The 27,703-nt window shown below is 51.8% G+C and overlaps 1 protein-coding gene across 9 annotated transcripts in view, besides 10 other annotated features; it reads left to right on the top strand.

Annotated features, from left to right (window-relative positions):
* Positions 1-27,703, top strand: part of PHF21B (PHD finger protein 21B) — a 128,844-nt gene that overhangs the window by 19,552 nt on the left and 81,589 nt on the right. Inside the window, exon 1 of one of the 9 annotated variants that reach the window (XM_047441110.1) lies at positions 3,934-21,459. The exons of the other annotated variants lie outside the window; for them this stretch is intronic. The gene's annotated coding sequence lies outside the window, so the exon portion shown is untranslated. Of the gene's footprint in view, positions 1-3,933; positions 21,460-27,703 lie in introns of those variants that run through there. 9 annotated transcript variants of the gene reach the window in all.
* Positions 7,731-8,351: an enhancer, noted in NCBI's record as "H3K4me1 hESC enhancer chr22:45377983-45378603 (GRCh37/hg19 assembly coordinates)". NCBI's record gives its function as "activates a minimal SCP1, AML or CMV promoter by ChIP-STARR-seq in naive H9 embryonic stem cells {active_cell/tissue: H9 hESC(naive)}" and the evidence as "EXISTENCE:reporter gene assay evidence [ECO:0000049][PMID:30033119]".
* Positions 10,526-11,105: an enhancer, noted in NCBI's record as "H3K4me1 hESC enhancer chr22:45375229-45375808 (GRCh37/hg19 assembly coordinates)". NCBI's record gives its function as "activates a minimal SCP1, AML or CMV promoter by ChIP-STARR-seq in naive H9 embryonic stem cells {active_cell/tissue: H9 hESC(naive)}" and the evidence as "EXISTENCE:reporter gene assay evidence [ECO:0000049][PMID:30033119]".
* Positions 14,531-14,825: a silencer, noted in NCBI's record as "tiled region #3533; HepG2 Repressive DNase matched - State 12:CtcfO, and K562 Repressive DNase unmatched - State 12:CtcfO". NCBI's record gives its function as "represses a minimal TATA promoter and a strong SV40 promoter by Sharpr-MPRA in HepG2 and K562 cells {active_cell/tissue: HepG2 | K562}" and the evidence as "EXISTENCE:reporter gene assay evidence [ECO:0000049][PMID:27701403]".
* Positions 14,632-14,801: a silencer, noted in NCBI's record as "silent region_13871". NCBI's record gives its function as "represses an Ori minimal core promoter by ATAC-STARR-seq in GM12878 lymphoblastoid cells {active_cell/tissue: GM12878}" and the evidence as "EXISTENCE:reporter gene assay evidence [ECO:0000049][PMID:35858748]".
* Positions 23,375-23,997: an enhancer, noted in NCBI's record as "H3K4me1 hESC enhancer chr22:45362337-45362959 (GRCh37/hg19 assembly coordinates)". NCBI's record gives its function as "activates a minimal SCP1, AML or CMV promoter by ChIP-STARR-seq in primed H9 embryonic stem cells {active_cell/tissue: H9 hESC(primed)}" and the evidence as "EXISTENCE:reporter gene assay evidence [ECO:0000049][PMID:30033119]".
* Positions 23,998-24,619: an enhancer, noted in NCBI's record as "H3K4me1 hESC enhancer chr22:45361715-45362336 (GRCh37/hg19 assembly coordinates)". NCBI's record gives its function as "activates a minimal SCP1, AML or CMV promoter by ChIP-STARR-seq in naive H9 embryonic stem cells {active_cell/tissue: H9 hESC(naive)}" and the evidence as "EXISTENCE:reporter gene assay evidence [ECO:0000049][PMID:30033119]".
* Positions 24,620-25,243: an enhancer, noted in NCBI's record as "H3K27ac-H3K4me1 hESC enhancer chr22:45361091-45361714 (GRCh37/hg19 assembly coordinates)". NCBI's record gives its function as "activates a minimal SCP1, AML or CMV promoter by ChIP-STARR-seq in naive H9 embryonic stem cells {active_cell/tissue: H9 hESC(naive)}" and the evidence as "EXISTENCE:reporter gene assay evidence [ECO:0000049][PMID:30033119]".
* Positions 25,244-25,865: an enhancer, noted in NCBI's record as "H3K27ac-H3K4me1 hESC enhancer chr22:45360469-45361090 (GRCh37/hg19 assembly coordinates)". NCBI's record gives its function as "activates a minimal SCP1, AML or CMV promoter by ChIP-STARR-seq in naive H9 embryonic stem cells {active_cell/tissue: H9 hESC(naive)}" and the evidence as "EXISTENCE:reporter gene assay evidence [ECO:0000049][PMID:30033119]".
* Positions 25,866-26,489: an enhancer, noted in NCBI's record as "H3K27ac-H3K4me1 hESC enhancer chr22:45359845-45360468 (GRCh37/hg19 assembly coordinates)". NCBI's record gives its function as "activates a minimal SCP1, AML or CMV promoter by ChIP-STARR-seq in primed H9 embryonic stem cells {active_cell/tissue: H9 hESC(primed)}" and the evidence as "EXISTENCE:reporter gene assay evidence [ECO:0000049][PMID:30033119]".
* Positions 26,490-27,112: an enhancer, noted in NCBI's record as "H3K4me1 hESC enhancer chr22:45359222-45359844 (GRCh37/hg19 assembly coordinates)". NCBI's record gives its function as "activates a minimal SCP1, AML or CMV promoter by ChIP-STARR-seq in naive H9 embryonic stem cells {active_cell/tissue: H9 hESC(naive)}" and the evidence as "EXISTENCE:reporter gene assay evidence [ECO:0000049][PMID:30033119]".

The following is a 27,703-nucleotide window of genomic DNA, read 5'->3' as shown; positions in this document are numbered from 1 at the left end:
CGTACTCCGTGCTGTTTATCCATTCATCCGTCAATGCACGTTTGCCTTGCTTCCACCCCTTGGCTGTTGTGAATAAAGCTCTTAGGAACATGGGTGTGCAAATATGTTTGAGTCCCTGCCTTCCATTCATTTGGGTATCTATGCAGAAGTGGAATTGATGGATGGGACTTGTGCTTTTCTTCCTGGGCAAACCCTCAGTGGAGAGAAGCCTGAAGGGTTGGTTGCCTGTGTCATCCTCTGGGGGCATAGTCCAGGGGTGACCGTGTTCCATCAAACCTGTGTCCATGACTGTGGGAGCCATGGTTTTGATATCACATCCTGCCAGGGAATTTGAGTGCCTCTCTGCTGGCTTCCCCCAGCCCCTAGTAGGCCTCTGCCCAGGGGACACGGGCATGGGTGGAAGTGGAGGCAGCGGCAGCATTCACGGAGCCCGTTGGCCCCTTCGGCGTGCACTTTATGAAGAGCGTGCCTGTGCTCAAAAGGAATTCTCCTGTTAGAGATTTGCATTGGCGTTAAACACGTGGACGTTAAAAATGTAGCTCACGGCTGGGCATGGTGGCTCACGCCTGTAATCCCAGTACTTTGGGAGGCCAAGGCAGGTGGATCACCTGAGGTTGGGAGTTTGAGACCAGCCTAGTCAACATGGTGAAACCCTGTCTCTACTAAAAATACAAAAATTAGCCTGATGTGGTGGTGTGCGCCTGTAATCCCAGCTGCTAAGGAGGCTGAGGCACGAGAATCGCTTGAACCTGGGATGCGGAGGTTGCCGTGAGCTGACATCACACCACTGCACTCCAGCCTGGGTGACAGAGTGAGACTCGTCTCAAAAAAAAAAAAAAAAAAAAAAAAGTCGAGTTGTGGTGGCTTGTGTAGACGTTCTATTATTATAGTGATGTGTTTTCTTTTTTCCTCTCTCTCTCAGGATGATTAGTGAGCAGGGGACTGATTTCCTCGTTCCTCATTCATGAACAACAACTAACATTTGTGTAGCAGCATCTTGAGGTATTGGGCATTGCCACTTACATTAACCCGTTGGATTCACGTTTCATGGGTTTAAAAAGCGAGGTTTGAGGGCTGGTGGGCCTTTTCCAGGGCACCCACAAATAAAATCCAGCGTTTTCTTTGGAGGAGGCCAAGCTGAGATTGGAGGCAGCTTCCTAGAGCCCTTCTCATCACTCGCACAGCACCGCCACCGCCAACTTGTTCCTTGAGTCCGGGGTTTGAGGAACATCCATGTGAAGAGTTCCCTGAGGTCTCCTGACCAGGCTGCTTTATCTGTGGCCCTTCAGACTATGGTCCTGTGATCCGCCAGCCTGCCATGGGCTGCGGAGAGTTAGGTAGCCAAGGCCTGAACGCTGTGCCCTTCTTGAAGTACATACCTTGAAACCTCACCCCGAGATGATGGTATTAGGAGGTGGGGCCTTGGGAGGTGATTAGGTCCCCAGGGCTACACCCTCATAAATAAGATTAGTGCCCTTATAAAAGAGGCTGAGGGTGTCTGTCTGCCTTCGTGAGGACACAGCAGCCAGGCACCATCTTTGAAGCAGAGAGCAGCCCTCACCGGACACTGCCATCTGCTGGGGCCCTCCACGTGGACTTCCCAGCCTCCAGAACTGTGAGCAGTAGACTCCTGTTGTTTGTAAATTACCCAGTCTAATCTTTTGGTGTAGCAGCCCCAAAATGACCACAGCATATGCCATTGCTAAACTTCCACAATGCTTTTTTCTCGATGTGCAGGGAAAAAGACACAATCTGCAGACCTTTCTCAATTAAACTTTTCTTTCCCTGGCATTCATATTTCCTACATCTTTGGTTCTTGGGTTCTAGCAGAGGACAAAATGAGATAATAAGCATCAGACACAAATTTACAGTTGGTTATGACTATTTTGAAGACTTTGGTGGACTTCTAGTCATTTTTTTCACATGCAGCTAAGATGAAGTTATATTTTTTTCTTCCTTCTATTTCCCTTTTTCCTTTCCCTTTCCTTTCTTTTGACAGGGTCTTGCTGTGTCACCCAGGCTGGAGTGCAGCGGCATGATCTTAGCTCACTGCAGCCTTGACCTCCAGGGCTCAAGCAATCCTCCCACCTCAGCCTCCTGAGTAGCTAGGACAACAGGCCCATGCTACCACACTCGTCTAATTATTTTTTGCAGAGACGAGGTCTCACTATGATGCCCAGGTCATGATCTTGAACTCCTGGGCTCAAGCCATCCTCCTGCCTCAGCCTCCCAAAGTGCTGGGATTACAGGCGTGGGTGAGCCACCATGCCTCGCCTTGAAGTGATATTTTCTACAGTAAAGTTTTTCCTTGATTGTATCATGGGATGAAATATTAGTTCATGGTATTCCACAAAGATGTTCTCCCTAGGCTCTGCTTCCTAAATAAGTTTGACAAACGCTGACCAAATCCTCCAGGGATTCCCTGTTAGTCATTCTTACTGGTTGAGTTCTTTGTGTGACGGGGAGCTCACTATCTCCAAAGCAAGTCCACTCCAGGTCTGGACAACGTGGATCTTCAGGGTGGCCCACCTTATTTTGGGATCCGTCAGTTCCTGTTCTTCCATCCCATCTACCCACCTGCTGGGGGAGACCTTTATAATCTATGGCCTGATAGCCAATGAGGGGTGAAGGGTGAGATAGAGAGAAGGAAGGGGGAGGGGGAGAGGAGAGAGAGAGAGAGAGAGAGAGGAGACGAGAGAGTGTTGGGGGCTCCATGGATTTAAGAACCGTAAACCTCAATGCCTGCCCTCAAGAGGTTCCTTGTCACCATGAGGAACAGCTGGGGTCCGGATGTAATGACCACAGGTGGTGGCTGCCAGTGCTCTGGGTGGTCAGAGGACCATGGGATTTCTTCCTCTGAGCTCTAACCCTGTGCACAGCCTCCCCAACTTCACCTCTCAGGTCCCACGTTGGACCCTTGTTAGTTTCGTAAGCTTGAGCCTGTTATTAAGCACCCTTGCACCGCTGTGTGCTCACATGCAAGATGAGGTGATCTGAGTGCACGCCTTGTAGACCTGGAAGTGTGAAGCAGAACCGTGGCTGTTACAGCTTAGCTTAGGTCCTGGTGCCTCTCAGCCTGGCCGTTACCTTCTGCTGCTGGCTTCAGAAACATTGGTCTCCCCGGGGGTCCCACTGGCCTTCCTTCTCACCTCTTTGCTAGTTCCCACCCTCATCTTGCCAATGTCACCTCCATGCCAATGTTTTCATTATTTTTTCCTACCTCTGCCACTATTCATTCACCCCTCAGCAGCTTTCACCGGAAATATTACAGCAGCCCCCTGACTGGTCTCTTTACTCCCAGCCTCTGTCCACTACACCGTGACCAAAGTTGTTTGTCTCAAGTTTAGCTAGCCTTTTATGTTACTCTTCTGTGCGTAAACACGAACTTTCATTCTCCTTGGCCAATGGCAGAAGTTTCTAATGTCTTCTTAGCCTCTCTCGAGGTATGAATCTGATAGACAAGCTGCTCTGCTTGGAGCTGGGGCAGGGGCCTGGATCCCCACCTGCATCTGCCCTTTCCCCAGCTCCAGGACCCCACCTGCACCTGCCGTCTCCCCATCTCCAGGACCCCACCTGTACCTGCCTTCCCCCCACCTCCAGGACCCCGCCTGCACCTGCCCTCTCCCCAGCTCCAGGACCCCCAACTCCAGGACCTTCACCTGCCCTCTCCCCAGCTCCAGGAACACTGGCATGTGGGAGGCATCTGGGGCTCCAGCGAGCACAGTGTAGAAGCCGGTAACTTGAGGAATAAAATTCAAGACTGTTGCAGTGGACAGATGGGGGCTTTTATTATCTGGCCTCAAATCCTTTCTTCAGTCTCATCTCCTGACTCAAAACTGCAGACCATTTCCCAGACATACTAAACATGTGGGGGTCACTGAGCCTTTGCTATCCTGCTTGGGTTGCCCTTTTTTTTTTTTTTTTTTTTTTTTGAAATAAGATCCAGCCCATCCACCAAGACCCAAGGCCTGGAGCATCTCCTTACCCTCAAGAAAGGACCTCTGGATGCATCTGGATTGGATCATGCGGATGCAGGTGGTAATGAGGATGGTGATGGTGGTGCTCCTGGTGATGGGTGTCATGGTGATGGTGGTGGTGCTGCTGGTAATGTTGTCATGGTGATGATGGTTGTCGTGATAATGGTGATCATTGTGATGGTAGTGGCGGTGGTGCTCATGATGGTGCTGCTGGTGATGGTGGTGATGATGGTTGTCATAATGATGGTGATAATGGTGATCATTGTGATGGTAGTGGCGGTGATGCTGCTGGTGATGGGGGTGCTCATGGTGATGGTGGTGCTCATGGTGTTGGTGGTGCTGCTGCTGGTGATGGTTGTCATGGTGATGGTGGTGATGAGGATGGTTGTCATAGTGATGGTGATAATGGTGATCATTGTGATGGTAGTGGTGGTGGTGCTGATGGTGATGGTGGTGCTGCTGCTGGTGATGGTTGTCATGGTGATGGTGATGAGGATGGTTGTCATAGTGTTGGTGATAATGGTGATCATGGTGATGGTAGTGGTGGTGGTGCTGATGGTGATGGTGGTGCTCATGGTGATGGTGGTGGTGCTGCTGGTGATGGTGGTGGTGATGGTGATCATTGTGATGGTAGTGGCGGTGGTGCCCATGGTGATGGTGATGGTGATGGTGTTGATAGCTACGGTGATAACATCAGTGGTGGTCATGGCAGCTGTCATTTACTGACCACCTCCTATGGTGAGTAAAAGTGTTTTCCATGTTGCTTTGCCATCACAACACATCCCTGTGAGGAAATATTATCTCCCATATTATCTCCACAGTGGAGGGAACAGAGACTAGAGTTGTTTTTCTTTTTTCTTCATTTTTTTTTTTCTTTTGAGAGATGGGTCTTGTTTTCTTGCCCAGGGTGGAGCTCGGTGATGCAATCATGGCTCAATGCAACTTCCAACTCCTGGGTTCCAGCGATCCTCCTGGTTCAGCCTCCCATAAGTGGGACTGCAAACGTGAGCCACCACACCCAGTTAATTTTTTTGTTAGAGACAGGGTCTCACTGTTGCCTAGGCTGGGCCTTGACTTCTTCATGTATCATGAGCTAGAGCTTGCAAGTGTTGGCCTTGCTACTTGGTGGCAAATCAGACCCTGTGAGTTGCAGTTTCCTCTTTAGTAAAATGGAGGTAGTGAAAGTCCTCTCTGTTCTGACAAGAGGTTCAGGTGTGCAACAGTAAAATTTTAATGAATAAATAGTGGGTGTGGAAGTTTGTAAATGATAAATTTACATTTATTTACAAACTGTAAATGATATTGCTGTTAGATTATGTTCTTAAAGACAAGATGCTTGTGTGTGTTTAAAGCAGGAGCAAAAAGTTTTCGAAGTCCTAGTCACTGAAGTCGATACCCCAGCAGTGAAGTTCCTTGTGTTCCTGGAGGATGCCCTGCTGACAACCCCCTGCAGAGTTAACAGGATAACAGAAAACCCACAGGGTTGCCAACATCACTTTTAAAGACCTTGACACTCAGGTAGCATTTTCCAGGGGCTAGTACCTCCTGTTGCTTTTGCAGAGTCTTTGTGACATCACTTGATAGGTCTGACAAATCTCAGGTCAGGCCCAGGGTGCCGTCCGTTCCTCTTCTGCAGGGCTTGTAGTTGTGTTGGCCACCAGCGGGAAATGCCGAGGTTCTGGAAGGAAATAACAGGAATAGAAAACAGTCCTAATGTGACTTTTCTTGAAAAATAAAGCTTTCCATGAAATAACAGGATAAGCAGTCCTATCACCTTACAAATTAAATTAATAACTTACAGAGCAGGATTGAAATACAAATAAGCATGTATGTCACGCACTTTCATTCTCATGCTGAGCAGGTGTTTAACTCTCAGATGTGCCTCCAGCTACGGCATTGCCAGGCTTTGCACAGGGGCCCTCAGAGCCAGCCCCTTGACTGCACCTGAATCCCCGAGCTCTGTTCACCTGCGGAAGCCTGGTGCCTCCCCATACCTGGGGAATCCACCACTGGGTCCAGGAGTCTGTGTGTAACATGCTTCCCACAAGATTCGGGATCCCCTGAAGTTTGAGAACCAAGGCTCTGGGTAAGGTTAACCTTTTCCCTGGCCACCTGACCAGATGGAAAGATGTGAAGGTCATGCTTCTTCAGCTCTTACTGGCCCTTTTGTGGTGGTGATGATGATGATGATGGTGGTGGTGGTGGTGGTGATGGTGATGATGATGGTGGTGGTAATGAGGGTGGTGATGGTGATGGTGGTGGTGATGATGGTGGTAGTGGTGGTGATGATGGTGGTTGTGATGGTGATGATGGTGGTGATGGTGGTGATGATGATGGTGATCATGATGATGGTGATGGTGGTTATGGTGGTGATGATGGTGATGATGATGGTGATGGTGGTGGTGATGGTGATGATGATGATAGTGATGATGGTGGTGATGATGCCAATGATGATGGCGGTGGCTGTCATGCCTTGCTAACCTCTGGGAAAGATTGAGGACATCGGCATGTCGGAAAGGGGCCCAGCTCCAGTTCCTCAGAGTACATGCCTTGAATACTTGGGCATGGAATCTCCCCAAACTTCCCTTTTCCCACCTGCAAAATGGAAATAATATCTGTATCAGCTATAAAGGCTTATGCAAATATTAGTGGTTTTATTATAATTCAGAGGACTACCCTGGAGTTTAATCCTCTGAGTAAAAAGCAGGAAGTAAAAACTGTAGCAGTTTGTAAACAGTCTGTGATGTTAGATTGTTTCCATTTAACATTTTATGTGATTGGTGTTTAGACATTTCTCTTCATCTGCATTGGTTTTTCTTAGGGTAGATTTTCAAACTTATGTCTTTTAAAATACTTTTAAAAAATACAAAAAGTACAGAAGATGATGTGCTAAGCCTCCCTCGCCTGCCCTTTGGTGTGGTGTTTGCGACGGCCCAGGGCCCAGCTCTTCCAGGCTTGTCTGCTGATGCCCACAGGGACCCCTCCCTGCAGTCTTTGTTCCGGTTTCCTCAGGGCCTTTGCCACTAGTGGGGGTTCATGCTGAAGCCTCTGCCTGAGGTAGTGAGTTCCCCTGGGCCAAGTGGCTAGGGACAGCTGGACCTCCCTAAGAGCCACCAGCGGCAGCAAACATGCCAACATGTCTGCAGGTCAATGGGTGAGAAGCAAGAGGAGCCCAACTCGCTTTCCCGTTTTAGGTCATTCACTAGATTTCCCCCGGTTTTGCCTTTTTTTTTTTTTTTTTTTGAGACAGAGTCTCGCTCTGTCGCCCAGGCTGGAGTGCAGTGGCATGATCTCGGCTCACTGTAACCTCCGCCTCCTGGGTTCAAGCAATTCTCCTGCTTCAGCTTCCTGAGTAGCTGGGATTACAGGCGCCTGCCACCATGCCCGGCTAATTTTTGAATTTTTAGTGGAGACAGGGTTGGTCCGGCTGGTCTCAAACTCCTAACCTGAAGTGATTCTCCCACCTCGGTCTCCCAAAGTGCTGGGATTACAGGCATGAGCCACCGCGCCCGGCCCCTTGCATACATCTTGGTCCAAATCAGATTCTGTCTTGGGGAGCATCATTTCATAATCTCTGCTGGCTTTGAACTTGTCACAGTTCAGACGTCTTCCTTCTTCTGGCTCCTCCTGGTAGCCCCAGGTGCCTCCTTCCTGACAGAGCCTGCTGCTCCCGTAATACACACTCACCCCTAATGAGCTACTTAAAAATAATCAATGATTTCCAGATAAAAATCACCATTAATTTTAAATGCCCTCTGTAAACCTTGTTACAAATAATTGCCAGAAACACACAAAGTCTGAAATTAATTAAAATCGACAGCCTCATTTGACGGGAGTTGAGCTTCTGGCTTCTTGGTTATGTGCGTCTCTTGCTTGGGCAGAAGCAGTGGCTGCGAGATGTGAGCCCATGGGGGAGTTTGCTTAGGACCCGCCGAGCACTTGGGCCTGTGGAGGAGTGGGGAGGACACGGGCTTAGAGTCCTGCAGACTTGGCTGGCTGGCCTGTGCCCTCTTAGGGTAATCGGATGACTTTCCGAGCCCCAGGTTTCTCATCTGTGGAAGGGTTTGGTAGTGCCAGCTCCCCAGGGTTGCACGTAGGTGATGGCAAGGGTGTGCCTGCCCCAAGTGGATGCTCAGTCATGATCTTGTCGTCTTTCCTCTTCTCTCTCCCTGCCCCAGATCAGCCTTTGCAAAGTACTCATACTGGGTCATTCACTCACTCATTCACTCCTGCAGTGAGATACACAGAAGCTGATAGGCAGCAGAGGCGGCAGGGACACCGGGTTCCCCTCATCTGAAAAAAAAACACTGAGGCTGAGAATGGAGAAGTGACTTAGTCTGGGCCAGTCCTGGCAGAACCAGGAGAGAACCTGTGTGCCATGACCCCCTAGCCCAGCGCTGTTTCCACCGCCACACCCCCGTTCCCTCGGGGCTGGTGGGTGATGGGGAAACCGCATTTGCCAAGGCAACGGGAGGCAGCCGAGGGCTGGGGCTGGGAAGTCCTGCAACCCCCTGGCCCTAGGGTGGCACGAGCCCCTTTCTCAGCAGTGGGGTACGTGTGCAGGCACCAGCCAGTTCTTCAGCTGGGTTGCCATAGTAACTGGATACACTTTTGTTACCTTCTTTTCATGGTCAACCTTTTGTCAGTTTCCATTCCAGAACTCTGAGAGTCATCCCAGCGTGTCCTTGAGCAGAACACCTGCGTGCCGCTGTAGCTTGTCACATTTCTTTGTTGGTCCCCGTGTAGCTGTTGTTAAGGGGCACAGAAAAGCCAGTGTCCCCTCCCTCCCCTCCTTTCTGAGAGAGCACAGGTGAAGGGCTTGTCCAGCCAGGAACGAATTCTCAGGTCCACTCTTCACTGATGCACAAATGCTAGGCAGTCACTTAGCATCTCTGAGTCTTGGTTTCCTCATCTGCAGAATCAGGAAAGTCACATTTCCCTGATCATTAGCCTGTTCATTGAGCCAGGGCTTCCTGAGCACCTGCTGCCTGCCAGGCCTTGGGTGAGGTGCTGGGTTCATGACAGCACAGGGTCCCCACCTTCAAGACCATAGCCAGATCTGCAGACAGATCAGTAAACTCCAACTTGGTGAGTGAGGCGGGGAGTGCAGAGGTCTGAGGGGGTCACGAGAAGGAGCTACCAGCCCAGCCAGGGGCTGCTGGAGACAGTATCCGAGGAGGGTAGAGATGACACAGGGAAAGTGTTGAACAGATCATGCCGCTCAGTTAGGGCAGTTTCTTGCCTCCTCCTCCCTCTCCCTCCCAGTCTCTAGGTCTCTCCTCTCCTCCCCTCTGTCTCCCTCTTTCTCCAACCTGATGGGAAGCTTTGGACATAAAGGCCGTTTCCTCATCAGACTTCTTCTATGCCTTTGGTCCCAGAGACACGGCAACCCCCACGCCCTACCCTAAGTCTCTGCAGACAGCAGCTCCGGAGAAGAGAACAAAGCTTGGGACTTATTTATTTCCCGTTTTGCAGAAATGTTTATTTGAAAGCAGCACAGCAAGGTGGAATGGTTTGATTTGATTAGCAAGTCTAAATGTATTAGCAGCAAGACAGAAACGATATTACAATTAGCAGTAATTAGCTGTGTGATGACTCTGGGCGGCAGTGCTGGGTGACAGATGCTGCTTCCTGGTCCCGGGTTAGACGGAGAGGGCATGTTACCCTTGTGAAGGGGCTCGGCTTCCTGGGGCGGGCAGAGGACCCTGGCCTTGTTTTCAAGGCTGAGTGACAGCTAATTGTCCCTTGGAAGAGACACAGGTGTCAGCACCCACTTGTGTTGTGTGGAAAGTGACTTTGCGGTCTTGGGGGAGGCAGTGGCTTGACTTGTATGGATTTGGAAGCTTCGCAGCTGCCCTGAATTTGCCTCTGATGGCAGTGGCTTCCTTCGTACCACTCATCCCTTTTCCAATCTTTATCACACACAGCTCCTCCAGACCCCCTTCACTGGGTTTTACTTATGGGCTGGCTCTGTCCCTGAGATGTGGCCTGTGCTGCATCCCTGGGCCTCCAAGGTCTGCAGTGTGGACGCCCTGTGTGGTGATGCCCGGTAACCCTGCAGGGTGCTGGACATACACTCAGGAGACTCTGGGAACCGTGTGTCCACATCGCTACATGTTACCTACTTCAGCGTGGGTGAGCAGTGACTGCAAGCCAGTCTGAGGTGTAGATAGAGACACCTGAGACCCTGAACCTGTCCTCCAGGAGTCCAGATCTTCCACTGGGGGCCAGACATGCTGACATCCTGCAGAAAGAAACCAGTGCTCCTTTTGGAGTGGTGAAAATGTCCTGGAACTTGGCAGGGGTGGTGGTTGCACAGCTTCGCAAATGGAGTAAATGCAGTGGCCTCGTAGGCTTTGAAATGGTTACTTCTTCTTTCCTTTTTTTTTTTTTTTTTTTTTTTTTTTTGAGACGAAGTCTTGCTCTGTTGCCCAGGCTGGAGTGCAGTGGCGTGATCTTAGCTCACTGTAGCCTCTGTCTCCCGGGTTCAAGCGATTCTCCTGCCTCAGCCTCCCGAGTAGCTGGGACTACAGGCACCCGCCATGATGCCTGGCTAAATTTTGAATTTTTAGTAGAGACCGGGTTTCACCATGTCGGCCAGACTGGTCTTGAACTCCTGACCTCAAATGATCCCCCTGCCTCAGCCTCCCAAAGTGCTAGGATTACAGAAGTGAAATGGTTACTTTTATATTATGTCAATGGTTTTACCTCAATGAACAAAAACAAGCAAGACAACAAGACATTTTGAAAGCCCAAACACCATAAACTGGGCACAGCTTAAAGTGTCTGAGCACACACAGCCGGTAAATGGAGATAGTCATGGACACCAAGTCTCCCTCTGAGCAGGGAAGGAGCTGGAGGAGCCAAGAGGGGAGAGGCACAGCTGCCACGGCGCTGGGCACGTCACAGGCCAGAGTTGGAGAAGGCTGGGGAGGACACTGGGCAGACATGAGACAACCTTTCCTTTCTGCCACTGGCTGCCCTCCAGGGGCTGCAGGAAGGGGTCAGGGTCTGCCTTCCTATGGCTGGGAGGGGGCTGGCAGTCCTGCAGCCCCGCCTGTCCTTAAGACTGCCTCCTGAGTGCCCTTGCACGACCTCGGGTGCCTGTCAGAGACCACGACAGCCTCTGGAGTGTTGGCTGCTCTTTCCCTGGTGTCACACGTGAACTTGGCCTTGGCCACTGTGTTCATCAGGCCGCCAATACCAAAGGACCAGGGCTGCTCAGAGAGGCAGCCCCCAGATGGCACCTCCTCCCTGTACCCCACTGCCCCCAAGCCAGCAGGAGGATCCTCCACACTCTAGATCTCTGCCAAGCACTGTGGGTGCAGGAGAGAATGAACCAGATGTGGTCTACCCTTAGGGGGCTGCAGCTGGAGCTGCCTGAGCCACGTGGCAGCGAGGTCTAGGGGTGCTGGAAAGGGACAAAGCTGGAAGAAATGTTTTCTGAGCCCAAAGTGCAGTTTCATTGCAGGGGGTGGTTGTTACTGGGGGTGAGGCTGTGAACTGGGAAGATGCCCTGTCCTGCGTTTTCTCCCCGGGGCCAGTGGGCCTGCCTCACCTGGGATCTCCAGATGCAGCAGCTGCACGCAGAGTCTACACAGCAGTGGCCACCTGGTTCCCCTGTGGACACATCCTTTGTTCCTCAGAATGAAACCATCTTGTCAACAGCCTTCGCCTATGGGAGCCAGGAGATTGGTTAGCTCCTACGGGAGCCAGGAGATTGGGCAGGTGTAGTAGAAGAGGAAAAAAGGGCGGTCATTCTACAATTGGGAGGATGCCTTACCCGAATCAGAGAAATGCTGATGAAAACCACAGGGAGGCTGGGCGTGGTGGCTCACGCCTGTAATCCCAGCACTTTGGGAGACCGAGGCGGGTGGATCACTTGAGGTCAGGAGTTTGAGACCAGCCTGACCAACATGGAGAAACCCTGTCTCTATGAAAATACAAAAATTAGCCAGGTGTGGTGGCGCATGCTTATAGTCCCAGCTACTTAGGAGGTTGAAGCAGGAGAATCGCTTGAACCCGGGAAGCGGAGGTGGCAGTGAGCCTAGATCGCGCCACTGCACTCCAGCCTGGGCATCGCAGGGAGTCTCCATCTCAAAAAACAAACAAAACAAACAAAAACAAAATCACAGGGAGAGTCCTTTTTGTTTCTTCCAGACGAATACCAACACTGAAGGAGAATGATGACGGTGTTGGGGGCTCCTGGGTGTGAGGAGTGCTGCTGGGTGGGAAGTGGGAGAATTTGGAAAACAATTCGGAAACATCTAGTAAAGATGAGGGGAGATGTACATCTCCTGCAAACCGGAGATCCCACTTGTAGGTATTTCCCATAGAGAAATTATTACACACGTGTCCTGGGAGGCCTGAAAATCCTAGCAGCCAAAATGAAATACAACAGAATGTGGCCACCACTGATGGATAATGGATAAATATGCACATGTATGCACTGTGTCTACAGCAAGGAAAAGGAATGAGTGAGGCCACGTGCAACAACCTTGACTCTTGGGAGCTTGGAGTTGAAGTTTTCTTCAAAAAGTTGCAGAAGAAAACTTCATATGATTTCATTTAATTAAAGTTCAAAACATGCAGGCCAGGTGCAGTGGCTCACACCTGTAATCACACACTTTGGGAGGCCATGGTGGGAGGATTACTTGAGGCCAGGAGTTCGAGATCAGCCTGGGCAACATGGTAAAACTCCATCTCTACAAAAAAAAAAAAAAATGAAAAATGAGCTGGGTGTGGTGGCATGCACCTGTAGCCCCAGCTACTCTAGAGGCTGAGGTGAGAAGATCGCCTGAGCCCAGGAGGTTGAGGCTGCAGTGAGCCATGATTATGCCACTGCACTCCAGCCTGGGTGACAGAGCAAGATCCCATCCCAAAAAACAAGCGATATCCTTTTTTTTTTTTTTGAGACACAGTCTCGCTCTGTCACCCAGGTTGGAGTGTAGAGGTATGATCGCATCTCACTGCAACCTCCGCCTCTCAGGTTCAAGTGATTCTCCTGCCTCAGCCTCCCAAGTAGCTGGGCTTACAGGCGCACACAACCACACCTGGCTAATTTTTGTATTTTTAGTAAAGATGGGGTTTCACCATGTTGGCCAGGCTGGTCTCAAACTCCTGACCTCTGGTGATCTGCCCACCTCGGCCTCCCAAAGTGCTGGGATTACAGGTGTGAGCCACCACCGTGCCTGGCCTGATACACTTTTTGATATACATATGTGGTAAACTATTAAAAAAAAAGTCTGGGAATGAAAAATACAAAATAGTAGTAGTTACCTGTAGCGAGTGGAGGATTTCAAAGTGAATATTTATTTTATTTTTTCCTTTCTTCGTTTTTTTCTTTCTTTTCTTTTTGAGACAGGGTGTCATTCTGTCATCCAGGCTGGAGTGCAGTGACATGATCACAGCTCACTGCAGCCTCACCCTCTCGGGCCCAGGTCAGCCTCCCTAGTATTAATAGCAGGGACTACAGGAGTGTGCCACCTTTTTTGCATCTTTTGTAGACACAGGGTTTTGCCATGTTGCCCAGGCTGGTCTTGAACTGCTGGGCTCAAGCGGTCCTCACACCTGGGCCTCCTAAAGTGCTGGGACTGCATTGTGAGCCCCCGCCCGGCCCTGGCCACTTTCTTAACCCGAGTGCTATGTACATGGATGCTTCTGGTATTATTCTTCAAATGTTACACGTTTTAGAACCTTTAATCTCTCTTCAGTACTTAATAAAACATCTGTATGTTTTTAAATGGGCCTGTAGGTGTGGGGCTTCCTGCCTCAAATGTGAAATTCTGTGCTTTAGTACAGGCAGATGGGTCTGGGCTGTCCTTGGACATACAAGGACCTCCAGGGACAGGACACTTCCAGCTCCCCAGAGGCTGCAACTTGTATAACTTGCAGAAACAAGACGGAACAGTCAAAAGTGCATGAAACCAACTGTGTAAATTGTGAAATGTGAATTGTAATTTTGCTTTTTTCCTTCTAAAATGGCATGAAGTCCACATTTTAAAAGTTTGGATAGGGAAAGATTGGTCAATGGGTACAAAGTTACAGTTAGGTGGGAGGAATAGTTCTGGTGTTCCATTGCACAGCAGGGTGACTGTTGTGCTAACAATATGGTATTATGTATCTTAAGACAGTGTGAAGAGAGGATTTTGAGTGTTCTCACCACAAAGAAATAATAAATGTATGAGGCGATGGATATGCTAAATACCTTGATTTGATGATTACACAATATGTACATGCATCAAAATATCCTACTGTACCCCATGAATATGTAGTTATGTGTCAATTAAAAACAAAATGTTTTCTTGAGACAGGGTCTTGCTCTGTCGCCCAGGCTAGAGTGCAGTGGCGCAATCATGACCCACTGCAGCCTCAGCCTCCTGGGCTCGGGTGATCCTCCCACCTCAGCCTCCTGAGTAGCTGGGACTACAGGTGTGCACCACCATGCCAGGCCAAATTTTTTGAATTTTTTTGTAGAGATGAGGTTTCGCCATGTTGCCCAGGCTGGTCTCGAACTCTTGAACTCAAGCAATCCGTCTGCCTTGGCCTCCCAAAATGCTGGGAATTACAGGCGTGAGCCACTGTGCCCAACCCAAAATTTTTAAAATAGGTTTTCTTTTTAACCAAGGTAAATTCTGGAAATGAAGCAAAACTGACCAGCGCCCTCTCCTGGGCGAGTTGGAAGTGGAGCCCTGGGTGGGAGGACCCGCTGGCCCCAAGAGCCCTGCTGGTTCAGCACCACGGACAGCACTCAGGGCAGCCTCTTTACTGGGCGTGGCCGTGGGCTTCCCTCGCTGATTTGGCCGCAGCTTTGGGGAGGAAGGTGGCAGGAGCCTGGGTTCCCTCCTGCCTTCCTCGTAGGCTGAGATGAGCTGGAAGAAGCTCATGCCACAGTGCGCAGCATAGCTCGGTGTTCTGTAAATGCTTAGAAAACCCTCTCTGCTGTCAGGGCAGGAGGGCGCCCAGTGATGAGACCTGCTTGCGACTCATGAGGGGACTCCATGTGCAGTACCGATGTCACCAGGCCTAGAGGGACGCCTGCTCTCCATACACTTTCTAGGCTGGCTGGAGGGAGGGGAGGGACAGGGGCCTCTTATGGCTCTGTGAGACACCCACCCAAAGGCGCTTCCTGCTCCGGAAGGAACAGTGTCACGGTGGCCAGAGGGGGAGTCCAAGGCCAGGCAGGTGCTGGTCACTCCTTGGGCTCATCCCAGGCGTGGGGCTGGCTGAGGGAGCTGAAGTGTCTCAGCCAGGAGCTTGGACCCTTGATTCTGCTTCCCTGGAGAAAAGGTGGGTTTGATGGAGAAGGGGTGAGAGGAGGATGGTGATGGGGGCTTCAGGAAGATTCTCTGCTCTCTTCCCTCAGCCAAGGGTGCAGATTGGGGAGCAGGTGGAGAGAGAGGAGAAGGTGGGGTCAGCGTCCAGGACAGGCTGTGGCTCCATGCTGGAGGAGAGACAGAGACCGACAGGAGGATGTCTGAGGATTCTTTCAGCTTTGAATTGTAGGATGTTTGTTTCTCATCACAACACCCATGTGTTAATTCACATTTCATTTTGATCTGCTTGTTCAATGATTGGGTACTGAGTGGTATTAATATGATCAGAATTTTCAATAACAGAGAATATTACGCTATTCATTGAAACAAATTGGTTGGCATCTATATCTCCATATACCACCCTGGTCTTATTAGATCTAAATCATATTCACGCTCAGCGCTCTGATTTGAACTGTAAACCCAGCATGGGAGGCGGGATACCTGCTGTTTGAAGAGCTCTCTTTCTCCTCCAATTTCTGGTCTGATTGGACACACACTGTATAGCACCAGGCTGCATCTATGAGCAGGTCAGGTGGTGACGAGGGCCCGGAAGTGACCCGCTGTGGTCACAGTGGATTTGCCTAGTGTTAAAACTCAATGTAAGCTGCACGGATGTAGGACTTTGTGCAGGGTGGTACCAACACATGTGGGTATGTCGGCTGTTTGGGTGAAAATGTAAGCATGTGTCATGTCAGGGTGTGTTTGTGCAGACCTCTGTGTCCTTAAGCATATGCATTTTTTTTTTTTTTTTTAAGACAGGGTCTCTGTCGCCCAGGCTGGAGTGCAGTGGTGCGATCATGGCTCACTGCAGTCTCAACCTCCTGGCCTCAAGTGACCCTCCTGCCTCAGCCTCCCGAGTAGCTGGGACTACAGGCATCCGCCACCATGCCCAGCTGATTTTTATATTTTAGTAGAGACAGGGTTTCGCCATGTTGGTCAGGCTGGTCTCGAACTCCTGGCCCTCAAGTGATCCACCTGCCTCGGCCTCCCAAAGTGTTGGGATTACAGACGTGAGCCACCGCACCTGGCCGCATATGCACGTTTACAGCATCACACACAAACACTCCAGGCAGAGAATGGAACTGATAGTCACGCCTGTCTGCTGTGGCCTCAGCCCAAAGCTTTTAGTACTTCTGAGCAAGGAGGAGTGTCAGCCTGGCCAGGGTGTCTCACTGGTGTCCAAAAACTACGCCCCTAGTGTTGTTTCTGCTAATTCTGCCTACATTGTCCTTACCTGCCTCCTCTTCTGGCTTATTCCTGCTAATTTGTTAAGAATTGACTTGGCACCACCTCCTCCAAGAAGTCTTCCCTGACTTCCCAGTGCTGGGCTAGGTCTTGTTCAGCTAGTTGCATAGCTTCTGGGGACAAGAGCCACACTTTCCTCTCCCATGGCGACCCCACCCTTACACTGTCTTGAGAAAGCTGGGAATACAGTGGGTACTCTGTATATGTTAGTTGTGTTTCAGAATGGTTCCTTTTCCCCTCACCCCAGTCAAGCACAGTGGGATTTTTCTCCAGTATTCACTTGGAGACCCTGGTGGGGTTTCTGAAGGTAAGCCTTATAAAAGTGTGCCCCCCACCCCACGCTGAGCCCCTAGGTTTTAAGTCTTGAGGTAGCCCCCACTCAGCTTGAGCAGTTCGCTGAAGTTGCCTTTTTGTTCCTCCCAGTTCCTGGCTCCAGCAGCCTGTCCTCACTGTGAGCTGTGGTTCTCTGTCTCCGCCTGTCTCTTTAGTTTTAGGGTTGGCTGTTTGTCCTGTAACCTCAATTTTCTGAGGATTCTAAGAAAAGTCACTGATTTTCAGTTTGCTTAACTTTTTTCTGGTTTCAGGGGTGGGAGCTGACATCTGCCAATCTGGAAGTTGATGTGCATAGGTTGAGTGCACTTGAATCTTCTCTTTGCTTCTTTGGCGGACCCAGGGTCCAGGGACAGGGAGGGGACAGGGTGGAGACCAGCAGACCCCGTTTTCTCTGACTGGGGCCTGAGGACCTGAAGGGAATGCAGCCCCTCGGGGACTTCTGTATTAAACACAGACACACAGACTCCACCGGGCTGTGATGACTGGGGGTGGGGAGTCAGTCATAGTGTTTGCACTTAATTCTGACAACAAAGCTGAGGGTCATCAGAGCCCGGAGTGGGAGTTTGTTAAAGTGACAGTCACCTGGTGTCATTCTCACAGCTGAGGACCTCCTGCATGGCGGGGAGGGTGTGCCTCCTCATCTCTGAGCGCCCTGCCTGCCAACCTCCCTCCCCCGCCCCTACTTCCTTGGCCTACTTGGGCCTTGGCACCAGGCCTGTGCCAGGGCCCAAGTTGTCTGGCAGCAAAGACACAGTCCCTGTCTGTAGGGGGACGGACACACAGCTCCTTTGCACACAGCTTTGGGACAGGGAGAGGGGCAGAATCCTATTTGTCCTAGGAGAAGCTCAGCTCCACCTGGGTGGGACATGCAGCAGGTGCTCAGTGTTTGTTGACTGACTGAGTGAGGGCTTTCAAGGACCCACACGATGTCCGCTTCTGCCCAGAGCACCCTGAGCCGACGTACATGAGGAGTTTCCACTGAGGAGCCATGTCAGGGCGTGCAGTGTGGGCCTGGAGAGCCAGCACCGGCTTCCTGGTTCCACTGAGCAGCCGCGTCCGCCAACACTCGGTTTCCGGCTTCCTCATTGCACTGAGCAGCCGCGTCTGCCAACACTCGGTTTTCGGCTTCCTCGTTCCACTGAGCAGCAGCGTCCGCCAACACTTGGTTTCAAGCTTCTTTGGCTTTTCAGGTTTTTTCCCCTCTTAACAAAATGATGAAAATGCACAACAGGCCGAAATGCCCAAATCCGTCACTCATGATACATTTTACCAAAGTCAAAAGAAAAAAGAAACGTCCTCCTTAATCACCTTTCATATTTTCATTAGCAACATCAAAGCGATCAGGTCTGGGAAAGCCCATCTGAGTCATGTCTCTGGTAAGAAGTTGATGAAGAATACAAAGGAACTTGAATTTCAAAGCCAAGCCTTTATCTCTCATTCATGTTTTCTACTGTGAGGGCTCCCCCAAGACCCAGCCCTGTCATTCATTAGGGGAGGGCCTGCAGGTCTGAGCAGACACAGTGTTGCCCACCCTAAAGCATTCAGTGCAGCCGGTATGGGTGACCCTGTCCTGAGCCCACTGGAACCCTCATCTCTCCCCCCAACTGCAACCCAGGGATAGGAGTTGCTTAACCTCCCTGAGCCTGTTTTCTTATGTGTTTATTAGCAGCTGTGGGGCGCCTGCTTCATGCCTTACTTTGTGCTGGACCAGGTGGTATGCAAGGAACGACAGACATGTCCGTAAGGAGCTTGAGGCTGAGCTTGGGAGACAGACGCAGCAAGTGCGGGAGGGGTCAGTGCAAAGCCATGTCAGGGCATGCAGTGACCCAGAGGAGAGATTGGCTCTACCAGGCACACCCACGAGGGCTCCCTGGAGGTGGAGGCACAGTGTGTTTTGATGGCTTGTGGGAGGGCTAAGTTTTCTGGGAAGGGAGAGAGAGAGCCGCCCAAGGGCCAGGCCCTGTTGTCTCAGCAGCCCCAAGGCACTGGAAGCCCTGGAGTGGATGGTGGTGTTGGGGAATTCAGGCTTCTGCAGGTACCCGGGAGAGCAAAGGGTGGACACAGTGGAAATTGGTCCCAAGTCACCCAAAGTCCAAGAGTGGAAAGTGGAGACCCCTTCTCAGTATCTCCCCAACTCTGTGTGCGGTACAGGTGGTCTCGGATGCACTCCTTCTGCTGCCTACCCCGAATGGCCCTGAGGAGGGCTGTTTACCAGGCACCAATGCTTTATCATCTGAAAAACACATGGCAGAAAGAATTCAAGGGAGGACGGAGAAAACCCAAAGATACCTTGTCAGGTGAGAGGAGGGCTTCAGAGTCACTCACGCCAAACAGGCTTCATAGCCACGCCAGGGGCCCATGATGGTGATCTACAGGGTCCAGCCGTGAGTGAGGAGCCCTGTGGTTGAAAAACACAGGGTGTGGGTGGATTAGAACTCCTTCCAAAACACAGATTATTGAGCCTTTCCTCCCAGGGTTTTAGATTTAATCACTCTTGGGTGGGCCTGAGAATTTGCATTTTGAGGCGAGTCCTCATGCTCTGCTGGTACTGCTGGAATGGCCACCACACCTTGAGCACCGCTGGGTTGGAGGAGGAGTGCTGACGGAGTGCTAAGCTGATCTCATCCTGGCCAGACCTTAGGAGGTGAGTGGTTTCATTTTACAGATGAAGAAATAGAGGCAAAACAGACGAAGAGCCACCCCCCATTTTCTGCTAGTCAGAATGTAATCAGCATGCAGATTGAAGGAAGTCTTAGACTGTGTCCCTCGCCACTTGTCCCCCAAATCTTTCCTGGCTGTATAGTCTCCAAAGAGCTTAGAGTTAAATTTGGGGCAAAGAGGGAACCCTGAGAAGTGAGGCTGGAGGGGGCAGGACCATGGTTCTCTGTGGCTGGACTGGATGAGCAGTGCTAGAGCAGTTCGGCGAGCTTTGACCACACGGACCCACCTTGACCCTGAACCCAGGTTTCTAAGGAGGGCCGAGAATTGGCCTAGGAATTGCTGCTGTTGAAGGTAGGCAGGTGTGGGGAGGGTCATGCTGGCCTTGGTACCACTGCTGAGGTGGTTAAGGGGAGACCCTGGGGAGCCACTGGTGGCTCTGTAGCAGCAGACCTAGAGGGGTGGGCATGGGGCTGCCGCCTGGCACACCCAGCCCTACCAGGTCCCACCCTCCCCTGGCACAGGTGCTGCCTTTGGTGGTGCAGCTGTGCTTGACCAGCATCTGCCCAGTGGCTTTGCAGAATGAACTAGGAATTCCTGGAATCTCGAGCCTATAAAAATAGTGTGCAGAAAAGATTCCCCCCTGCCCTTCTGTGCAGAGCAGGTCACATGGCATGGCCAGCCTGGCTTCAAGGGATGGGGAATATGCCTCCCTTCAGGACGCTTTTAATCTTTCTTCCTAGTGGAAAGCTTACTGGCCTGGGATCGAGGCAGGAGTGCCATGCATCTCCGATAAGCCAGCTCTGTGGCCTTGGGCTGGCCGCACAGCCTCCCTGGGCTCTGGCTTCCCCGAGTGCCAGTGCTAGCGTGGAGCTGTGATCTTGGTTGACCACCTGTAGAGTTGACCACCTGTAGTTTCATGAAGTGGCTGCGCTGCTGGAGGATGTGATGATGATAGAGTCAAGAGCTTGAAGGTTGTCCAGAGCGCATGGAAAAACGAGACAGTGTTCAAATCTCAGCCCTTAGTAGCTGGATGTCCTTGGGCCAGTTACTTAACCTCTCTGTTCCTCCATTTCCTCATCTGTAAAATGGGACACTATAGGCCCTTATAGAATAGTGGCAAGGATCAGGTGAGATAGCGGAAAGTCTACACTCAGCCATGCATGTCATATGCTGAGCCAGCTGGGCCCCCAGGCTTTCACGCACCTCATCTGCAATCCTCAAATGGCTCCATTTTTCTTTTTCTTTTTCTTTTTTTTTGAGACTGAGTCTCGCTGTATGACCCAGGCTGGAGTGCAGTGGCGTGATCTCAGCTCACTGTAACCTCTACCTCCCAGGTTCAAGTGATTCTCATCCCTCAGCCTCCCGAGTAGCTGGGATTACAGGTGCCCACCACCACGCCTGGCTAATTTTTGTATTTTTAGTAGAGACGGAGTTTCACCATGTTGGCCAGGCTGGTCTTGGGCTCCTGACCTCAAGTGATCCGCCCGCCTTGGCCTCCCAAAGTGCTGGAATTATAGGTGCGAGCCACCGTGCCCGGCCGGCTCCATTTTTCAGTTGCAGAAATGGAGGCCTAGGAGTTGAACCCCACACCCTCCTGACTCCACAGCTCAAGCGCCTTTCCAGGCCTCAGTCTAAGAGCTTGAGGGTGGAAGAACGAGGCAGCTTGCAGCAGCTGGCTTTGGGGTGTCCTTTGTGATGAAAACACCCCTCCTTTTAGGGAGCTCCTGCAAACTGATGCCAGCAGGGCCAGGCGAGCATGGATCACGTGGACACGGAGGCCCTTTGTCCTGCTTCGTCCGTCCAACCCTATGCCAGTGAGCTCCACGAAGCAGTGACGCCTGCAGAGACTCTGGCCACAGGAAGTGTCAGTATCCTTTGGTGCAGCTGTGAATGGTGCCCAGGAGCTGAGCGTCTTGTAGTGCCTGAAGGTAACAACAAAAAACAGAATAATGGGACTCTTATGTCAAAGCGACACAGAGCCAAGTCAGAGAGCCCCCAGTGGCCACAGCTGGAGCAGTTTGAGCTACAAAGTCAATAAAGTAGGACAGGTTGAGTATTCCTCTTCCAAAAATCTGAAACCCAAAAAAATCTGCTCTGAAACCTGACACTTTGAGTAGTGATGGGACACTCAAAGGAAGCACTCATTAGAGCATTTTGGATTTTGGATTTTGGGGTTAGCGAGGCTCAGTGGATAAGTATAATGCAAGTCCTTCAAAATACAAAAAATATAAATTCCAAAACATGTATGGTCCCAGGTATTTTTTTTTTTTTTTTTTTTTGAGATGGAATCTCACTCTGTTGACTAGGCTGGAGTGCAGTGGCGCAATCTCAGTTCACTGCAACCTCTGCCTCCCAGGTTCAAGCAATTCTTCTGCCTCAGCCTCCTGAGTAGCTGGCATTACAAGCACGTGCCACCACGCTCGGCTACTTTTTGTATTTTTAGTAGAGACAGGGTTTTGCCATGTTGGCCAGGCTGGTCTCGAACTCCTGACCTCAAGTGATCTGCCCACCTCAGCCTCCTAAAGTCCTGAGATTACAGGTGTGAGCCGCTGTACCCAGCCTTATCCCAAGCATTTCGGATAAGGGATACTCAATATGTGTTGCATCATAGACCAAGTACAGAGTAAACATTTCTTAGTCCCTGCTGATGCAAATAAATGATTCAATAAATGAATAAAGACGAGACAAATCTTCCATGCAGAAGAGTTTCAAATAATTTATGTAGCTACTCCGCCCTCAAGGAGGGAGGGGTAACTCTCACCCCTTAAGGGTGAGCTGGGCGCAGTGGCTTTCTCCCAAAGATCACAGTGTGGAAGGAAGGAAGTAAAGTAACTGCTCTGAAGACGCCTGACAGTCACACCTCAGCCAGGTCACCAAGGTCAACACCAACAATGACAAGCCAGGTCGACAAGATGCGCTCTTGATACGTGATGGAAATGGTACCAGACACCTTTACAGTCTTCCTCCCCAAAGCCCATAACCCCAGCCTCATCAAGAGAGAAACAGACACATCCCACTAAGAGGACATTCTGCGAAATTCCTGACCCGTCCTCAGACTGTCCAGGTCATCAATAACAAGGAGAGTCAGAAACTCTCCCAGCCCAGGGCAGCCTGGGGAGAGCGATGATGAAATGTCATGTGGGATCCTCGTTGGGATCCTGAGACAGAAAAGGACATTGGGAGAAACAAAGGAAGCCTGAACACAGTGTGGACTTCAGTTAACAAACTGTGTGCATGACATTGGTTCCCTAGTGGAGGCAGATGCACCAGGCCGGTGTCAGACATTAACAGTCGCAGAAACAGCGTGGGCTACTGGGGAATGCTCTGTGCTATATCTTCATAACTTTTCCGTAATCAAAAACTATTCTGGAATAAAATTTATTTTTTAAAAAGTAAAAGACTGGCCGGGCACAGTGGCTCACGCCTGTAATCCCAGCACTTTGGGAGGCCGAGGCAGGCAGATCATGAGGTCAGGAGATCGAGACTATCCTGGCTAACACGGTGAAACCCCGTCTCTACTAAAAATACAAAAAAATTAGCCAGGTGTGGTGATGGGCACCTGTAGTCCCAGCTACTCGGGAGGCTGAGGCAGGAGAATGGCATGAACCCGGGAGGTGGAGCTTGCAGTGAGCTGAGATTGCGCCTCTGCACTCCAGCCTTGGCCACAGAGCAAGACTCCATCTCAAAAAAAAAAAAAAAAAAAAAGTAAAAGGCCTCTTCTGTCGTGGCCCGGCCTCTGTCCCCTGGTCTCTGTGCAGGGCGCATTGGTGGCCACCCCCCGTGAGCGAGAGGACATCCAGCCCCCACCTCAGGGGACTCAGTGGTTGGAGAAAGTTCCTGATTCAGCTCCACGTGGCTCTCCATGGAGAAGCAGAAAGAGAATCGTGTTTTCTTGCAGAGGCATTGAGGTGTGGTCGTCTTTACCTGTGTTTTTTTCTCAACCTGCACACAGGGGACTTGGCCAATGGGCTCTGGGGGAGATTGCAAGTTGGATGGAGAGGCTGGGGGGTGGGAGACAGATCAGCCTTGCAAAGTCTGTCAAGAAAGCGTCTATCTATCTATATAATGCACTAACTCGAGTGTGGGCACTGCTCTGGGAGCCTCTGCAGCGATGCTACCTTTTCCATCTTGGACTGGACCTCACTCCTCAGATTTCAAAGCCATCGCCCATCACAATTTTTCTTGGTCTTGATGGCTTTGCTGGAGGTTACTGCGGGGGCTACCGCTACCTCATGCTGGGGCCTTGATGTGTGTGGCAGCTGGCAGGGTTGGCCTGGCCCCCACCTGTGACAGACGGATGGAGGGACCCAGGCTCTGAAGGGGGGACTTCTGGCTCCCTTCACCGCACCTGCCTGGCCTTGACCTGTGGTCTCCCTGCCTGCCCAGGGACTCCCTGGGGACAGGGGCTTGGTCTCTTGCATCTCCAGTGCTGGGGCCTGTCTTTTCACAGGGACGCTGCAGTGGCCCCAAAGCTCCCAGTAGACGCTGGCCTGCCCAAGGGTTGTGTGGCAAGAGCTGGGCTTGGGGGCCCAGCTTGTCTGCTTTGACCTTCACGCAGATTGTGTGACCTTGGGCAAGTGCCTGCACCCGACAAGGTTCAGACTTCTCTCAAAAAGGGGCTGGAGACTCCGGGTTTTTTGAAGCTCAGTGAGCAGCAGGGCTCGTCGCGTGGTTGGGGACGTCCCCGGCTCTGCCTCTCCCTTTATGCTGGAAAGCTGGGTTGGGGCCCCGGAGCCTGTCTAGGAGGCCCAGGCAGCGTAGGAGCGAGGGACTGGAGGGATGCAGGGAGTGCCCAGGATATGGGAGGGCATCTGGCAGGCTCTGGAGGAGGAGAGTTGAGCTGTGGAAGGGGCTTTCCAGGCTGGAGGGATGGCTGGAGAAACACCTGTCTCCAGAGGAAGACACAGCACTCCCTTGGGTGCCCAGTGGATGAGCAGGCCCGTGGGAGCCGGGCCTTTGGAAGTGGGATTTCTGGATGGGGCTCACCTCCTTTAGAGAGGAAGTGGTGGAGCAGGGGGTGTGCAGCTTTGGGGTAGCGGGTGTCCTGACCCCCTGTGCCTAGGAGTCCCTGCTGAGGGTCCTTGTGATACATGGCTGGCACTAACCCCAGGCTGCTGGGATGGCCCCGTCCGCCCCATTGCCTGGCATCTGGCAGTGGCTCCAGTGTGGCAGTCTGACTTCCCAGCCAGTGGGCAGTGTGGTCCTGCTCCACTGTTCCCAGGTCAGATACCAGCCACTCAGCTCTGGTCTGGAGGGCGAGGGAGACAGACGGCCCAGACAGCCAGAACACCTGGGGGGCCGGGGGAATCGTCTCAGCTCGGGGTGCTGGGAAAGGAGGCAGGGAGGAGAGGCTGCATCTGGGGTGATAGAGGGAAACCCCTCAGCCAAGAACTGGGAAAATGGTGAGAACCTGGACTGACAGGAGGACCAGGGCCGTGCAGGATGGAAAAAGTCGGAAGTGGCAGAACCTATGGGGTAGGGAGGGTGGGGCAGGGTGACTGAGTTCTGGCTGGACAGATGGTGAGCTCCACTGGGTGCAGGTGGCTAGTGTAGTGGTGGCGGGGGAGGGATAGGCACAGACCCAAAGGACCCACATCTGAGGGCTGTGCAGAGGGGAAGAGGCTGGGAGGCATCTTGAGGGGGATGAGCGTGGCCATCCACATACAAGCAGGTGTGCAGCCGAGTTGGCCAGAGGCGGCTGTGTTCAGAGGTCAGGAAGCCTGGCCTGGCAGCTGCCCTGGACAGGTGGCACAGGGGGATGGTCCAGCAAAGCCCGTCTTCGGGCTGCTGTTCAAGCCGGTTGAGTCCCAGGCTGGGACTCAGAGTGGCTGCGGTGTTCACGCCACATTGCAGGCACCCTGTTGGGAGCCCCCCCATATCACAGGGGAGGGAAAGGACGTGAGCCCCTGAGATGCCCCTGCCCCAGGCACCCTATGTGCATTGTTTTCCCAACCACCTCATCTCCAGTGTACGGACAGGAGCCAAGGCTCAGAGATGTTAAGGTGCTGCCCGGCCTCACACTGCAGAGGGCAGCAAGAGCAGGTTTGGTCCACACCTGCTGCACTGACAACTGGCCTGAGAGGCGGCTTCAGGCCCAGTTTACTGTGAGTCTCCGGGAGGTCAGGTGGCCAGGAGACTTGGGCCCGAGACTGGGGATGGAAAAAAAGAGGCTTTTAAAATCCCTCCTAGAAAATAAGTGAATGAATGAGTGAATGAATGAATGAACAGAGTAGACCCACTGGTTGTCTAAAGTCACATGGGAACTTGTGCCGCAGGCAAAAACTTTTCCCCAAAGACCTCACCCTGGGAGTCATCTCCCTTTAAAATGTAGTTACTAATCACTGCAGCTGGAATTAGCATAATCGGGTCATTTAAATGCTGAGCCGCAGTGAGTAAAATCTTCTCCTGCCGAGTCAGGGGCTGTTGTTTCGCTGCTGAAGATCGGAGGTTTGGGAGTGGTCCTCCTCTGCGCCCCCAGGGTTGCCAAATGGCCGGGCCTGAGCTGCTCAGTGGGAGACCCCAGGTTCAGGGGTGCGAGAGTCAGTGCAGGGGGGCCGGGGTGCACCACGCGAAGTCCCATCCTCCCTCGGGCCGAGGCTGCATTGGGAAGAGTGGCCTCACTGTTGAATGTGTCTCTGGGTGGGTCTGTGTTTAGGGAAGATAATGGTTAAACAGTGATGCAGGGAAGACAGAGGGTTGAGGCCTCGGTGAATATTAATATTAACGAGTATATTGAATCCTCTGTGTTTGTCACTGTCTAGTGGCAGCACATACGTACAGATATTCATCTGTTTCATCTTCCCCACAGCCCCAGGAAACACATGCTCTTGCTCTTGTTGGGTCCACTCCTGTGAGAAGGAAGCCGAGGCTTCCAGCAACCCTCCCAACACACAGCTGGACGGGGCCAAGGTCAGGGCTGGAACACAGCTGGCTGGCCCTGGAGCCAGTGCCCTTCCAAAGATGACCCTGAGTGCCCTCTGTGTGCCAGGCTTTGATTCATTACCGGGAAGTCAATGATTTGAGTCAAAGGCAGGTGACAGGTGTGTCCACAAAATTAAGAAATGTCTTGTGTGGCTGGCCCTTGGGGTCCCCCACATGGAGAGAGAAGCTTTGAGCAGAGGTGTGGGGTGGGCCTGCTTCTCCGAACTTTGGTGGTGTTTGTCCTTCAGATGTCACCTGACTCTGCTGTGGGCTGAGTTCAGGTGCTGGGCCTGGCATGGGACTCAGCCCCACATGGCCCCTGGGAGCGTACAGCCAGGGAAGGCCTCGGGTTCTCTGAGTTAAAACAAAGTCTGCGGTGAGTGCCTGGAGGCTGCCTTGCTGTTTACAAAGCATCTTCTTATCCGTTCTCTTCTTTCGTCCTTCAGCCCCACTTCTTGCTGGGGATGATGATGACCATGACGAGGGTTGCTGAGAAAGGATTGGAGAAACCATGGGTCACGTCATCTTAGGGCTCTCAGACCCTGCTTGATAGAAGTGAGGGCTTCATAGAAGTCACTTTATTTCTAGGTAAAAAAACAAAATCCTTAACAGTGAGGGCTGATCCACCCTCAGTACCCTCAAAACACAGTTCAGCATGGTGGGTCATCCTCCCTAACCAGTGTGCTGTCTTGCGCTCGGGGCCGCTGCAGTGGTGTGAGCGTGGCGGGTCGCCCTCCGTCACCAGTGTGCTGTCTTGCCCTCGGGGCTGCTGCAGTGATGTGAGCGTGGCTGCCAGGCCAGGCCTACCATGAGGTTTCCCCTCTGTTCCCAGAAGGGAGAGCAGGGAGTCCATGTCACAGCTGCAGAGTGTCCTTGTGAGAAGCTGAGATCTTGATTCTGTTACGAGGAGGGATCTGGGGGGCAGCCCCTGTGCCCCCAGAGAGCTCAGCTTCCTCATTTCCAGATGGCAATGTCTGCCCAGGGTTGTTGAAAGAACCGGATGAGCCAGTACCTTGCAAACCATGAAGTAATGCAAAGGTAGAACGAGTCATGATTTGTTTTATCATCATGGTGCTTGGAAGAGAAAACTGTACTGCGTGGCTCTATTCCTGGTGCTATGAGGTGTTCTTGTAGGGCCTCTAAATGCATCGGGGCTGAGTCTTCTGGCCACATCGCAAGTAAAGCACGCCCCCACCCTGCCCCAGCCTCCATCCCCCACCGTTCCGTGAGGCACCTGCAGGCAGCTCTTCA

Source organism: Homo sapiens, chromosome 22 (genome assembly GCF_000001405.40).
Source record: "Homo sapiens chromosome 22, GRCh38.p14 Primary Assembly".
Taxonomy (NCBI): Eukaryota; Metazoa; Chordata; class Mammalia; order Primates; family Hominidae; genus Homo; species Homo sapiens.
Note: the sequence above shows the minus strand (reverse complement) of the source record. Positions and strands in the feature narration are given on the sequence as shown.